We start from the raw sequence: 16,535 nt of genomic DNA, 5'->3' as shown, positions 1-16,535 counted from the left end.
AATAGTAAAAGGATTATGTTGGAAGTAGAGAATTAGCCAGTATCATGTACAGAATGCAACTGCCAGAAGAAACATAAGACTTGATGTGGTAAACACTCCTTCTCCTTATTAAGAGAACCCCGTGGCAATGTAAACAGCCAATAACTTCCCTGGTCTCCTCTGCAGGGAGAGGTAGCCGTGTGACTTATCCCTGTTTTAAATGTGGACATGATGGTTGGAACTGCTGCAACTATCCTATGACCAAGAGGCAATCAACATGAGAAACAGAGTAGAAAGACTCAGAGGGTTGCTGGCATCACTGAATGCTAAATCAATGACAGCAAACTCTACCAATAGGTAGAACTCTGACCTATTTATTAGGTGAGATAAACATGCCTCTGTTTGTCATTGATTGTCCAATTTTCTATTACTTGTAGCTAAAAACAATCCTAATTGACATAGTGGTCCTTATCAACAATGCTGAATTTTATTTGAACCCTGTCATCCTAGATTACAGTGAAGGTTAAGAAATCCCCTACCTTTTGTGTTTCATAAAGTTTACTGTGAAGATCCACTACCCTTCCCCATATGACTTAGATAAGACTCACGGATGCCCCCGTTTACCTATGACAAGGCCAGACACAGACCCTCCAGATTTCCCTTTCTTTGTCTTATAAATGATTAGCTAAGCTGCCCACCCCCACTGATCAACCAGAACAAAATGCTTGTTAACCCAACTGGTTGAACTTTTCTCCTTCCTCCAGGCCCCTGAACTTTGGCCCATCCTAAACCTGAGCCAGCATACAGTCCCTCCTGAAAACAGGCTGGGCTCAGGGAAAAGTATTCTCTGATCTGCTATCCGATCATGCCATCCTTTCATCCCACATCCCCGCATATGGTTCTTTCTAACGTTCTTTGCTCCTCTTTATAAAAGAACGGCTCTGCAACTCCCAAGATGCCTGCAGAGCTTATCGGCAAAGCACTTTTCCTACTGTAATACTTCTTTCCCTAACTCCTTGAAATAATCCATTTGAATACAAGTCTCTCCTTACCAAGTCCAGATTTATTTTTAAAAATCTGACATCAAGGTAAAAAAGTAGACTGACAGAATAGTGCTGGTAAGACTTATGAATATTTACAAGAAATATAATTATACATAAATTCATTAAAACAGTACAGAAGTACATAAATGTTGCTAAAATGTACTGTCAAGGAAGAGATAATGGACACTTTAATGGATATTAAATTGAGATACAACATTTAGTTTTGCACAAATGCGTACAAGACCCTACATGCCATGTTATAAAAAGTACTGTCTCCTTTGAATAACTAACTCAGAAAAAATATATATAAATATATATAGAAATATTATTCTACATAAATATAATGTTATATATAGAATATATATTACATATATTTATATATTATATATTTTATATATAATACCAGCAGATATATATGTGTATATATAATGCCAGTAGGTATATATATTTTTATATATACCTGCTATAGTACATATAGTGAATACCAGCTGGTATTCACTATATCTTGATCCCAAGAAGAAACCAGGCAGAGGCTTCTACTTGACTGCAGACTGGATTCTGTTTCCCTTGATGATTTATTAACAATACAACAAAAGTCATGTATTTTGTATTTGAAGGAGTTTTCTAATCCCTTTGACCTGCTACAAATTCTTTCAATAATACTAGTCATTGTTTTTCTAAGCATGGTCCACTTTCCAACGTTTTATATTCATTCTCTCATGTAACAGCTAAGATAGCCCTGTGATGTAGATAGGGAAGTTGGTGTTATCTCTACCTTTACAGAAGGAAATGATGCTTAGAAAGGCCAACTTACTTGCCTAAGTCCTACAGCTAGTAACAGGACAGACAGAAAGAAATGGTGTGTCTTTGCACACTGGCCCCTTCTATTCCCTACAATGTCTCCTTATTTAGCTGTATTTTCTCTGCATGTCATTCCCAAATCATTGTTCCAGACCACAAACTAATGATAAAGATAAAGAAGACCCATCACACAGGATCTTAGAGCAGGAAGGGGTCTTAGCTTAGCTGTGTAATGTGAGTGACTTGCCAAGAGTCAGCTGATGACGCTGTTGGTGGCAAAGCCTGGATGGGAACCCTTTCCTTCCCTAAGCCAGTACTCCTGCTCCAGGCCACCCAGAACGGACCTCCCACTGAGATGCTCCCCTGAGTCCCTAAGCCTGGTGTGTTTGCCCAACAGGCCTCCAAAGGGCCAGAAGAAGTATTTTTTTTTAGATGCTGCTTCTGAAGGGTTCAGAAAGGAACCAGGAGAAAGGCAGGTATAGAGAAAGATGAATATTATCACTTTCAACAGATGAGGTACTGTGCCAAGTTTTTCCATATACTATTCCAAAGTGCTGTCTCATAAATCAGAAAAGCTAGTCAGAAAAGACAGTGTGGTGGTAATAGCATGGGCTCAGATTCACCGTCTGGGTAGAATCTAACCTCTTCCACTACTAACCTGCAAAATGGGTCTAATAAGTTTCTACTTCATGGAATGATTATGAGGATTAAACTAGATAATCCATCTAAAGTTCTATTATGTGGTGCACATAATAAGTACTTAGTAAATATTAGATATCATTCCCATTAATAAGGTAGGTTACTATTTCATTAACAAGGTAGGTACGATAATCTCCTTTTTCCAGATTAAAGAACTGGGATTCAGAACTGTAATGTACATTTTCAGGAAAACCAATATCTACAGTGAACCTGCTCTAAGCCAGGCTGGGCTTAATCATGAATACTTGCAATAATCCTGTGATGTAAGCATCATTAACTCCACTTTATAAGTGAAGAAATGGAGGCTGGAGACAGGGGAATGCATGGCCAGGAAATCTGTTACTGTTATCACTAATTTTTGAGATGCTATCGTGCTGGCTAACTTGTCGAAACATTAAACTGGTATATTTCTCAGCAATGGTGATTCAAATGCGTGAAAAAAAACATCTGTGCAATTTGTTTTCAATTATATTTACAAGGTTAAAGTATTCTGAGAAATATTATTGTCAACAGTACACTTATTTGTCCCAAACAGAATAAACTCTGAAAGAGATGCTATGCATTTACATATGAGATGTGTCAAAATGTCGTAATGTTTGCAAATGACACTTGCAATCCCCACACAGGAGTAATCTCCTGTAGATGTCCCATCACCCATCCAGGCCTGGAGAAAGGCACCACTCATTACCTCCAATTTATGGTGTTTATCTGAATTTACACCACTAACTACAAGGTGGTCTTGATAAATCACATATTCTCAAATCCTGTGAATGCACTCATGAGTGTGCATTGAGTTCTCTTTGCCTCTCACAGAAGCGCTCATTTCCATTCCTCAGAGGGACAGGAAACACCCCCAATCTATTTATCTAAAAGCTGTCCAAGTCCATCCACTTTGGGGCAAGTAATAGACTCAGATGGTATGAAAAATAAGTATTTTTCATCAAAGTAAAGCAGTTCTAATGGCAGAAGTCAAAGCTGCAGCTGCTGCTGGGAAGTATGTGCCAAGACTCTACAAAGACAGATAGTTGGCTAAATCTGATTTAATATTTAAGACCTCTCTAAGAAAATGTGATAGGTCTAATCCTTCAGGGTTGCACACAGCTAGGTAAAACAATACTCATAGCTGATGTTTACTGAGTATTAACTGAACAGCAGGCACTGATCCAAGTGCTTTTACATGGATTATCCCACTTAATCCAAATAATGATACGAGGTATGGACCATCAGTAAACCCACTTTTCAAACAGGAAAACTGAGGCTTAAAGATGTTCTGCAAAATGTCCAGAAAAGGCACATGTATAGAGACAAGAACCTCTATTCAGCATTGCCCCAGATTCACCTGCTGGTTCACTCCAGATGTTGGTATGGTATTATGTCCAAGCATTCAGAATGCCTATACCCTTCCCTACAAGTCATCTCTCTTCTCAAGGGATTCCCAAGGCTGAATGAAATATCAGTGTTTTGTTTTATTAATAGCCACCTCCTGTAATCGCCATACAGCAATCTGGTGAAAGACAGAGTGAGAGCATAAAGCTTGGCTTATACCTGGAGACAGAAGGGAGGCATCTTACTCCTTCCTCTCCCCTCCTTCCACCAAATCTGAACCTTGAGACCAGCATTCTCGCATGGCCTCATACCCACAGGCTTATCCTAAGACAGATGCGAGGAGAGGGAAAAACTGAGACTCTAACTTATCTACCCAGTTGCACACTCAAGGGAGACAGAAAAGAAGGAGCTGGCCTTGGTCTATGGTGGGAAGTAGAATGCCACAGACGGGTGTCCTGGAGACATGGTGGCTCTGCCCACAAGTAAATTTCAGCTCCATAAGTGACCAGGGCTCAAGAATGATTCTATCAATCACGCTGGTAATCAGAAGGATGACAGAAAGGAGCAGAACAGTTTTACAATCCTGAAGTAATGGGGCTCATGATGCTAATTGGCTTATTATCCCATCTGGGGAAATAGGAGTAGGGATTTCACATCTATAGAGTGAAATCTCTTCTCCTGTGAGATGGATCTGTGTTTCTCTCTAAAGGCCAAACTTTCTCTCAGCCCAGCCTGCCCAAATGCAGTTTTTCCAGTCATGCTGGTCTTTGAGAATTTTAGTAGGTCAAGAGCACAGGGAAGAACAGTCCCTGGGAAAGTACTGTCTGCTCCTCACCAAACTCTTTGATTAGAAGCCCTATTCAAGGACAAAAACACAATTTAGGCTGCCCCTTCTCACAGTGCCAGATATTTAGATTTAAAAACTTAATAAGTCAAGCCATCAGCCAGAGCTTTTCAGTCCAACATTTATTTTCTCTAAATTGAAGCTGTGAGCCTCTGCGCACTGGTTCCACACTCTATGGGCAGTGGTTAATGGCATGGTAACGAAGCCTGAAGTTCCTGCAAGGGCCTGACTTGCAGATCACTGGAAGAGCTTTTCTAAGTGACCCATGGCCCTTCTCTCAGGGAAACTTCTCAGCACTGCTCAGGGGACCACATTTACTCCCAAGTGACCACTAACTTAAACATCAGGGAGAGGGAGCCCTAAAATGGATGTTGCTTTTGTCTTAAGACATTTTTTGGTCTCACTTTCATCTTTCAATTTCCATTGCATCTCATCTCTAGGGTATTCTCCTGCCTCTGACTTTAGCTCTCAATGTCAGAACTGCCTCAGCACCATGCTAGATGCTCCCCATCCACCAGTGGTTCTCAAAGTGTGATTCCCGGACCAGTAGCCTCAGCATCATTCAGCAGCTGGTTAGAAATATAATGCATAAAAAAGAAGAGTATCTATCTATCTATCTATACACATACATACATGAACATAGAACTTATTCATTGATGAGAACGTGGATCACATTCATTGATGAGTGTGATTAGTATATATACACACACACATATACATGTGTATATATTCATATATACTATATGTGTGTGTATATATATACACATATAGTATTTTCCACATATATATATACATACGTGTGTGTGTGTGTGTGTGTGTGTGTGTCTCAGTTTCCTCATTTGCAAAACCAGGATACTACTTACCTTTCAGAGTTGTTGAGACGATTGAATGAAATGATACATGGCAGAATGGTTCTCAAACTTCAGTGTGTATTAGAATCTCAAACTTGAGCATGCATTGAGTGTGCATTAGAATATATATGCACACACACACATGCTTGTGTATATACACATATATGTGTATATATGTATACATGTATATATGTGTATATATATACATATATACACACACAAGCATGTGTGTGTATATATATTCTAATGCACACTCAATGCATGCTTTTGTGTGTGTACATATATATATCCAAATGCACACTCAATGCATGCTCAAATTTGAGATTCCAATACACACTCAAGTTTGAGAACAATTCTGCCATGTTATCATTTCGTTCAATCCTCTCAACAACCCTGAAAGGTAAGTATTATCCAGGTTTTGCAAATGAGGAAACTGAGATTTCAAAATGAAAAAGTAACTGATCAATATCACCTGGCCAGTAAGTAGGGCCTGGCCCCTGGCCACTCTTCAATCTCATATCCACTCCAGTCCTGTGGGCCTCCTGGCTCCTCCTGGAAAATGAGGCAAGCTCAGCCTGGCTGAGGGACTAGAACCCAGTGTTCCCTCTATCTCAGTGGCTTAAAAGCCAGCATGTTCATATGAATCTCCTGAGAAGCCTAAATATATATATACATATATACACACACACACACACACACACACACATTCATAATACACACACACACACGTGTATAAAACGGTTTTATTATGAAAGATTTCAAACATACACGAAAGTAGAGAGGACAAAATAATTAACCCCTATGTGAAGGGGGAGCCTCTCAAAAGGACCACCAAAGCCCCACCCTAGACCAGTTAAACCTGAATCCCTAAGGTAGGGCTTGGTATGGTTTGTAAAGCTGTCTCGAGTGATTCCAATGTGCTTGAACTTTGAGAAACACTCTCAGATTCATTTCTCCTCCAGATATTTGCATTATTCAAATCGGCCAAATGTTACTTCCACAGAGGGCCTTTCTGGACTCCCTTATCTGAAACACATCACATCACCCCTGGCTACCCTGCCATGCCATCTCTCTATCCTTTTATCTCGCTTTATTTTCTTTATAACATTTTCTTTAAAGTACTTTATAGCATTTTCCACTGGACATTTCATCATATACTATGGGCTTATTCTCATCAATGAATATGATCCATGTTCAAGAAGCTCATTCATTGAAGCAGCAGCACCATGTTCCTTCTTCACCACTTATCCCCAGGGTCTATGAAGACAGTAGCACATGGGAGGCAGTTGATGAATATCTCCCAAATGCTTAAATGAATGATAGAGGAACAGAGCTGAGACTCTCACACAGGACTATCTGACTCCAAAATCCATGCTTTTCCCACAATACCCATGGCAGCCCTGGTCTAGTTTTGCTTTAGCCTCCGGAAACAGAATGTAGTTCTTGTATGGAAGCAAGTTGTGTATTTGGTACTGAGTTTATCATAGTAGACTGTTCACATTAGTTATTAGTTATGAGGTCTCATGTGGCTCGCTCAACAACTCTGGATCTTATTTCCATTTGTAAAGTAAGCCCATTTTTGCCTATCTTCCACATCTCTTTAGAAGGATAAGTGAAAACTTATATGACAGCATTTATAATTTGCAGCATCAAATAAAGTTATTATCATTACAACATGGAGAAGAAATAAGAGAGGAAGGAAATAGAGTAGGCAAAGAAAGAAGAAGTAGAGGAAAAAGATAATGGTGTTGGACAGCATGGCTTAGAAGAAACTTTCCAGTCCAGAATTTTGTGATTTAAGAGAAAAATAGAAAACAAAAAAAAATTATCAAAAGCTGTACATCAAAATTGCCCACTTGTCCAAGAACAGGATTCAGAATAATTTGTGTCTACTAAAAAAAAGGACACAATTCTATTATTTTTATTTCAAAATACAATTTGCTACATTGAAATCTCTTTCAAGAGCCTCTACTCTTCTTTCAGTCTTTTAAAAACATGTAACAGTAACTTTGTTACAGCATCATTTAAATCATGGTCACAATTTTCTTTTTCTCTATTCTTGTTTCAAATCTTGCTCAAGAGCCCCAAGAAGCCACATAGCTTTGGCCTTAGGTTGGCCACCTCTATGCTGAGTGTGGGAAGCAAAGTGAAGGGTCGTCACAACCAGCTCGTACCACACAGTGGCAAGCATGCTATGCACAATCGGGTCCTTAAAGGACCATCAGTCCAACCGACGCCCATAACTTCATAACTAAGCCACTAGAATCTTCAGGGGAGCAACTCTATCTCAGATCCATTTCCATAGATGGAAATCTGACCCATTGCAGATCCTCAATAAAGGCTCAATGAAGTATATAAACAAATTGTCTCTGGTCTCCTTTCTGAATACAGTACTTGTGATATTATGAGCTATATATACAAAATGTATACATATACATACATATGTATATGTGTGTATATAAATATATAATTTACATATGTGTGTATACATATGTGTGGCGGCGTGTGTGTATTGGACATAGAGTATACACACACACCCACATACATACTCCAGTACTGTACATCCAATACACACACGCGCGCACACAGGTTTCTATCCACTGTTCCTGGTTCATAACTCTCATAGCCCTCGTTACAGTCTTTTGTACGTTGGTGCACTTTAGGCCTCAGGAGTTGAGCCAAGAGTTGCAAGAACTTCATTCCAGGGAGGGTCCTGCCTCATACCCTGGAAGAAGGAATGTCGCATGGAGAGGCCAGAAGAATCTGGACAGGCCTTCTTGGGTTTCCCCAATCAGTCTATTAATATGAGATCAGACCCTTTCTGTCCAGTCATATTTCAACACTGTTGTCCATGCTTCAATCATGCCTAGCCAATGAAGTTTCCATAAAGGACCCAAGAGGAGGGGGTTCAGAGAGTTTCTGGATAGCTGAACTCATAGAGGTTCCTGGAGGGTGATGCATCCAAGGAGGGCATGGAAGTTCCAAGATCCTTCCCCCATATCTCATCTTATGCATCTGTATACTTTGTAGTATCCTTTATAATAAACCAGTAAATGAAAGCAAGTGTTTCCCTGAGTTCTGTCAGCCTCTCTAGTAAATTAATTGAATCCAAGGAGGGGGTCATGGGATCCCCTATTTACAGCCAGTTGGTCAGAAGCACAGGTAAAACAACCTGGGGCTTTCAACTGGCATTACAAGTGGCAGGGAAGAGGGGGTTAATCTTGTGGGACTGGGACCTCAACCTACGGGATCTGACACTATTTCCAGGTAGGTAGTGTCAACACTGAACAGGAGGACACCTAGCTGACGTCCACCGCAAAACTGACTGCTTACTTGGTGTTTGGAGAGAAATCCTCAGACATTTGGTCACAGGAGTCTTCTGTGCTTCTGTGTTGTTGGTGATGTTGAGATAATGAAAAAAACAGTTTGAGTTTTTTCTCCAACACAGTACTGTACTTCCAATAATGAGGACTCACCCTCCTAAGACGGTCCATCCCACATGCTGGAAGCTTTATTAGAAAAAGAGTGTGTGTGGCTTGGGGAAAGAGTAGGGGCTTCATGGGCAGATGGACTTGGATCTAAATCCCAGTTTTATTCACCACTTCTTAGCCGTGTGCTTTGTATATGCCACTGACTTTCCCTGGACCTCAACTGCCTCGTCTGTATACAGGGAAGATGGCACAGCGGTCTGGGCTCGCTAGAGGAGAAGATGTCAGGTCTATGGTAATGGGAGAGAATGATGGAAATGTGAGTTGAGACCAAATTAGTTCAGTGTACCCACCAGGCAGCATTTGCCTTCTGTTTGGAGAGGCAATGCAGGAGCATGTTGAAGACACAGGACTGGAGGCAGACAGCTGGGTTTGGATCCTAGCTGGAATCTTGAGAAACCAACTTAACCTTTCTATGCATTCATTTATATATAGGTAAAAAGGTGATCATCATAGTACCTTATCATAGGGTTGATGCAAGGATTGAGTAAATCAATACTTCCAAAACACTTAGCACCTGAATTATAAGAAATCATGCAATAAATGTTAGCTATTACAGTGATGATTATTATTATTTCTGCAATCAATAGGCCACTGAAAAGGTAGTGATAAGATCACTGCTTCTCAGATGTTTGACTGCACTGGAAGGTGTAGGATAGACAGGAGCAGAGAGCTGGTAGGCCAAAAACTAGTTAAGAGGTCACTGCAATTCTAAGTGAGGGGTGCTGAGTACCCAAAGTAGCAAAGATAAAGGAAAGAAAATGGGAGGAAATAAGCCAGATGCTAGACACGTCTGAGCAGTTGAATCAACAAAACTTGGCCAAAGCCTTGATGTGGCTGGTAAGAAAAATGGAATAGCAGAGAAGATAAAAGAATTTTGCCTGGCTGGGTGTGGTGGCTCATCCCTGTAATCCCAGCACTTTGGGAGGCTGAGGGCTGAGGCAGGAGGACTGCTTGAGCCCAGGAGTTCCAAGACCAACCTGGGCAACATAGCAAGGCCTCATCTCTAAAAAATAAAAATTAAAAGAAAGACTTTTTCTGAAAATGTATCAATTTTCAAACTAAGGTACCTTTTAAAGTTACCCTAAGAAATTAATTCTGCCTGTTCTAGACTGTGAACTTCTTGATCATCTTGTTAAACCCAATGGTCCTAGTACACAGCAAGCATTCAGAGTTTGTTGAGTGAGTAATCCATCAAGATATAACATCTGTATACAGAAAAAAAGTAAATATGGCAGCTTAGCCACTTGCAGTATCTGCTGTGTTCTGGATTATGTAAAGGCCAGCCCTACTAATTTGTAAGTATTCCAAATAGCATGTTTTACAGTCCCACTAACTGGAGAGGGACGGACTGCATCCAAAGCAAATATATATGTATTTAGACAGGAAATTTCTTCATAATACCTATATTCTCCATTTATTTAGAGTAGGGTTTCTTGACCTTGGCAATATTACAATTTGGGACTGGATAATTCTTCCCCGGGAGAGGTATGGGGTCACTGTCCTGTGCATTGTAGAGTTATTTACAGCTATCAAATTTTCACACATATCTGACAGATTGGATTTGAACCCCCTAACAACCCTGCAATGAGACAGGCAGAGTTTTCATTCCTGCAATGAGACAGGCAGAGTTTTCATTCCTGTTTAACAGGTGAGCAACTTCTAAATATTGCAAACGTTTGTTTTCTGTTTTAAAATATAAAAACACTATATTTGATGTAAACAAAAATGCAAGTGCCTAAAAAGGCAACCACATGTTTGACATTCACAAGATCATGAACCCTCCAATCCCACCTCTGCTATTCACTTATCTGGGCCATTTCAGGAGTGACTTCACCCTTGAGGCCTGTTGCTTTCACCTATGAAACCTGGGGTTTAACCAGGTGAGCATGAGGTATCCTCCTAACTCTAACACTATAATATCCTGGTCCTGTATTAGGAAACTTCAGTTTCACCCACATTACCTGCAGGCGACTTTTAACCTACTTGCCATGCTGCGACTATTACACAAAGCAACTGATGACAAGCCTTGGATGACAGGCCTCAGGGGCAATGCCTTCCACCTGGATGGCTACCTGATTCCAAAGACTTCAACAACCAATCCCATTCCTCCTACATCTTTACTCCTGCCTGAAGATTCGGACTCAACTTATTAAGAGCAACTTGGAAGGAAGGGGCAACAACCAAAAGAAACGAGTCACTAAAACAGTAGGGCCCTTCTCGGCAACCCCTGACACCACCCTGCACATCCAGTCCTTGAAAAGTTCTGTTTCTTTTCCTCCTATATCCAAGCCCTAAGATACCGCCCCTCCCCCACCCCAGCCCCCATATGCCACTGACACGCATTGGAGAGTGAGGATCAACGTCCCTTGCAGACGTGTGCACGGGCCTAGGAACCAGCTGACCCACGTTTCAACTGTCATTAACTTCTAACTACATGCCCCGTCGGGCCTGACCTGAGGCTGAACTCCTGTGACCTTCCAACTCCCCTGGATCTGCACGGCAGTCACTTGGAGGCACCGCCCCTGCGCTAGCTCCAGAGCTTGAGACAGGGTCCGGGCGGAGCTCCTTCCTGAGCCGGAGAAGACGCGCCCCTGTCCCTTCCGCGACTGCCGCCCCGCACTCCCTGCGGGGAGGTCGACCCCGGCGCATTCTAGGCCCCGCGGTCCTCCAGCGGGTTGGCCGCTACCTTGTCCAGCAGCCGGTAGATGCTGATGCCCGAGGTCTCCACTAGGAGCTGCCAGTCGGCCCCGGCCAGAGCGGGCTGCTGGAGCTCGGCGCAGGCCTCCCAGAACTGCTCCTCCGAGAAGCTTCCGGCGGCCAGCTCCATCCTTCCGCAGTCCGGGCTCCTCCGCCTGGAGGGCAGGCCGCGGACACCCTTAGTGTGGGCCTGGGGGCGGGGTGACCGGGCTGCCCCGGCTGCCCCGGCTGCCCCAGCGTCATTGGCAGGAAACTGAGGAGAAGGCGGGGCCTAGACTGGAGGAGCGGCCTGAGGGTGGGGCCCTGGAGGGGCGGGCCTAGAAAAGCGGGCGGGGCTGAGCAAGGAGTGAGGAGGATAGACAAGAAGTAAAAGGAGAAAAATTGGACTTGATGTGGGGAAGGAAGGAAGAGCTGGAGAAGTAAGGAGGCTTCCAGAGGGAAGGGAAAAAGGAAGGGAGACAGTGATGTCACCTCAAAAACAGCTCCTCAGTAGCCTATCCCATACTCCCTGCTACTCCCATAACCTACAGACCTGTTTGAGTGTCTCTCATTTACCTTTCTGAATAAAGTAGAGAAAGTCTCTTTGGTAGACATGAGAGGAGAGGTGGGCAGAGTAGAAATGCTGGAAAAATCCTAAGGGGTCAAATGCCAGAAGTGTATTTCAATATAATTTCTCTTCTTTCTGCTATACATTGTAAAACATTATTCTGAGACGAGGTCCATTGGATTCCCCAGAAGACTCTAGGGGTTCATAACACCAAAACAGTTTAGAAACCTAATCCATAATGGATCTACAAGGTTGTTGCCACCCTTGAGGGTAGAAACTGATCTGAAAGGTGTCGTACTATCCACCTAGGATTTCTGCAACTTGCATAATTTAGCTCACTGTGCAACTCAAACATCTTCTTGTTCCTTTGAAGTCCCTTGAGTAATACTGTATTTCCCACCAGCAGACTGTACTACCTGACTTTGAATAAAGTAGGTCGTTTGAACATCAAAACGATGTAACAGCCACGTGAGTGCCAATAAACTCTGGAAACTCATGTTTCCTAATCTGTAAAATGGGTCAAGAATTGTGCTACCAGTTACAGCTGAGGAGGTGGTTGGACAAGGAATAATTTTCCACAGTGCCCGTCCAAGTAAATGTTCAATAACAATTTCCACTTGTTTTGCATTACTATATTGAAATGCTTTTCTTTCCTTACTTGAAAGAAAGTTGATGGCAAAGTCTTAATTTATGTGATTTTCCAATCAGGCAAATGATCACATTTGGCAGCTTGCTTAGTTAGACACAGCAGAGATAAATAATTGCTTTCCTCAAGTCAGTCCTGGTTCTGTTTGGCTTTATAGGTGTGGAAAGAGGGATGTGAAATTTTCCTAGACTAAATGCACAAAAGTTTAGGCTAGACATACTTTCCCACTGTTTTATAACTCCTTGTAAATTTTCTATGTATTGTAAATCCATATTTTATTTAAATGGAAATTCATTGCTTGAAAAACCAATTGTGTAAAAACTATTGGCTATGAAGTATTTTCAAGTATCTTCAAGGAATCCATTATAAAGGTTTGATTTGATAAAGCTTTATTACTATATGGCAATAGACTAATGGAGACAAGCATAAGAACACAAACGACATCATGCAAGATATAAAGCACGCACTTCAAATTGTATTTATTGTATGTGTTTAAAAGTGTGTTGCCTAATAAACTCAGGAGAAAAATAAATATATCCTTGAATATGCTGAGATTTACACTCAGTTATTTTATTACAGTTAATGAAAGAATAATGTTAGGAAATATTTTATGGTATCTCTAAAGTCTAAAAACAGCTAGGAAAGGGATCCAGGAAGGCCTGTTCTTGAGAAGTTGCCTTAATAGCCTGTTTCCTTTGTGAAAAAAAACTCTCTGAAACAACTTCTGGCAAAATGGCAACTAAAGCTCCTGGCTTCAAACATGGAAATGTTGGTTAAAACGTGTTGAAAATAGTTGTAAATACATGGTTTAGCTGAAAAGTGAAAAAGGATACTTCCAGGTTTCAGAAAGGGAAGAGAGAATGAAAGCCAGCAACACCAGCTCCTGAATATTCTTAGAATGGATGATTGGTCCTCTCCCCACCTCCCCATGCAGTGTTTCCCAGTGGAGGAACTTCCATTAGGGAAATGTTTGACCTCACTCATTTGCTCAACTCCTACTCTGGAGAAGATGGGTGATTTAAATGCAGCCATGCATTGCTTAATGACAGGGATATATTCTGAGAAATGTGTCATCGGGCAATTGCATCCTAAAGCATACATCATAGAGTGCACTTAAACCAACCTAGATGGTAGATTCTACTACATATGTAGGCTGTATTGTAGAGCCTATTGTTCCTGGGCCACAAACCTGTACAGCATGTTACTGTACTGAATACTGAATGCAATTGTGACACAATGGTATTTGTGTATCTAAGCCTAATTAACATAGAAAAGGTAAAATAAAAATATGGTGCTATAATCATATGGGACCATCATCATACAGGCAATCCAACATTGACCAAAATGTTATTATGATGTGCATGACTGTAGTTGATGAGTTTAGGAGAAGGAACTACTGGTCAGGTCTAGATCAACCCTTCTGGCTCTTCCTTTTTGGCAACTGTCTACTCATAGAAAATATGCATTCTCATCTGCCTTAGGTTTTATAGTAGACTCAAGAGGACAGGCTCTGACACCAGAATCTAGGTTTCCTAATGATGCCTGTGCCTGGATGGCAAGTTTGATTATAGGCAGAGTGTTATAATTCTATTGTTGCCACAAACCCAAGCCCTGTTCTCCAAGCAGCTTTATTTGTAATAAAGGTGAAATGCTGATCCATTGTCTGATTAGCATCTACCTTTAATGTGATTCAGAATGCAGATGGGGAAGAGAAGAGCATTGACTTTGAAAAATAACCAAGTAGACCCTCCATAAATACAAAATATAGTTATTAAAATTAAAAATTTAAAAGAAAGGTAAAATGGTTGCCCTACCACAGTTCAAGAGAGATCAGGGAATAAGAAAGTAGCTGTGATGAGTAAATTCCCAGGAAGCAGAACAGAGGTATAAAGAAATGGAAAACATGAAAGAGTAATTAAGAAACACGAAGGACACATTGAAAAGGCTAAACACTTCTTACTGAAGCCCAATAATCAGAGAATAAAGAGGCCAGGGGATGGGATGGGTGGGTGGGGAGAATACAGAAAAAAAAGGCACATATAAAAATAAAGTGGAACAAAAGTTCTAACCTACAGAAACCTGGAACAAGGGAGGGCAAGATCAGAGTTGTGTTAAGGAGGCAGATGCAAGATATTAACTTTAGTGTTTTTTAGTTTACTTTAACTGTGCATATTAAACTTTGAGGATATGAACTCTCACAAATCAATGATAAAAAAAAACCTACCCAATAAAAATAGGTAAAAAAAAAAATTTAAACAGACACTTCACCAAAAAATATATACTGGTGGCAAATAAGAATATGAAAAGATGCTCAACAACATTAGTCAATAGGGTCATGTAAATTAAAATCACAATTAAGTGCCACTATGGCTATTTTAGAATAGCTAAAATTAAAAAGATTAATCAAAGCAAGTGTTGGCAAGGATGCTGAGGAACTAGAACTCTGATACATTGCTGGTAGAAATGAAAACAGTACAAATGCTTTGGAAAACTGACAATTTTTTTAAAAAGTTAAACGTACACTTAACATACAATCCAATCATCATACTCCTAGGTATTCACCCAAGAGAAAAAAATAAAGCATTGTTCAAACATTGACTTGTACACAAATGTTCATGGAAGCTTTATTTGTATTAGCCCCAAACTGGAAACAACCCAAATGACCTTTAATGGGTGAATGGATAAAACGAGTTGTGATATATTCAGCAATGCAGTACAATTCAGTGTGTGTGTGTGTGTGTGTGTGTTCCTTGATCTGTCCATTAAAATGATCTGGAAGCCTAGAAGCATTGGCATGCCATTAGCATTGAGCGCACCTGTGGCCAGTTCTTGGCTTCTGTATATCATTGTCTACTAAAAGATTCTTGGAAAAAAGACTGATTCTAGAACTGGGGCAGGGAACTTCTAAAGTAAGCCTAAAACATGTTGTGCCTGAGAATAAGGAGAGACGTTCAAAGACAATTAGAGTTATGTCTAAAAGATATGGGAGTTGGCTTGAAAGAGTTCCCAGTCTCCAAATTTTGGGAAATTTGAGATCACAAAGAATAGTTATAGTAATAGATTATAAAATATTGGATTTAAAAAGAAATCTGTGTGTCCACAGTGTTACTCAATTAAAAAAAAAGTAGGGAAGAAAAATAGGGAAGACAGAGAGGAGAAAATTTCTTCTTTAGAAAAGAATGCCAAAAAATTCAGGTAGAAAGAATGTCAACATTTGAAAACTTGCATTCTTTGACCCCCTATTAATAATTAATAGATTTAGGCAAGGATCATAAATGGATGCTGCAACCACTGGGTGAAAGGGTATGCAGATTAGACTTTTCATTTGATTGCAAAGAATCACCCATTGATTACTTACTACGTACAGTCAGGAAAGTGTAACTTTATAATGGGAAGATCTAGTGGTTGCCACCTTAACCAAGCTATCAATTGCATCACAAATAGTGGGACAACTGACATCACAGCCTCCATGACATGATGCAATAAGTTTATAATATCACCTAAACATTTTTGCCAAAATATCTAACTTGTAACTAGTCATAAGACCCCAATCAGACAAATCCAGTAAGTGGAAAATTCCTCAGAATAACTACTAAAACAATTCAATATGA

The 16,535-nt window shown here is 40.6% G+C and overlaps 1 protein-coding gene across 11 annotated transcripts in view, besides 1 other annotated feature; it reads right to left on the bottom strand.

Annotated features, from left to right (window-relative positions):
- PCTP (phosphatidylcholine transfer protein) overlaps positions 1-11,914 on the bottom strand; it is a 101,665-nt gene extending 89,751 nt beyond the window's left edge. For 7 of the 11 annotated variants that reach the window (XM_047436500.1, XM_047436499.1, XM_047436501.1 and 4 more), the window contains exon 1: positions 11,721-11,914. In XM_047436500.1, the coding sequence (XP_047292456.1) occupies positions 11,721-11,861 (141 nt within the window). In that variant the 5' untranslated portion in view covers positions 11,862-11,914. Of the gene's footprint in view, positions 1-8,876 lie in introns of all 11 variants that reach the window. The other 4 variants (XM_047436502.1, XM_017024913.2, NM_001102402.3 and 1 more) reach the window with 2 other exon arrangements.
- Positions 11,777-12,116: a silencer, noted in NCBI's record as "silent region_8736". NCBI's record gives its function as "represses an Ori minimal core promoter by ATAC-STARR-seq in GM12878 lymphoblastoid cells {active_cell/tissue: GM12878}" and the evidence as "EXISTENCE:reporter gene assay evidence [ECO:0000049][PMID:35858748]".

Source organism: Homo sapiens, chromosome 17 (assembly GCF_000001405.40).
Source record: "Homo sapiens chromosome 17, GRCh38.p14 Primary Assembly".
In the NCBI taxonomy this organism is placed as follows: domain Eukaryota; kingdom Metazoa; phylum Chordata; class Mammalia; order Primates; family Hominidae; genus Homo; species Homo sapiens.
The sequence above is the reverse complement of the archived record's forward strand: the minus strand, read 5'-3'. Positions and strand labels throughout refer to the sequence as shown.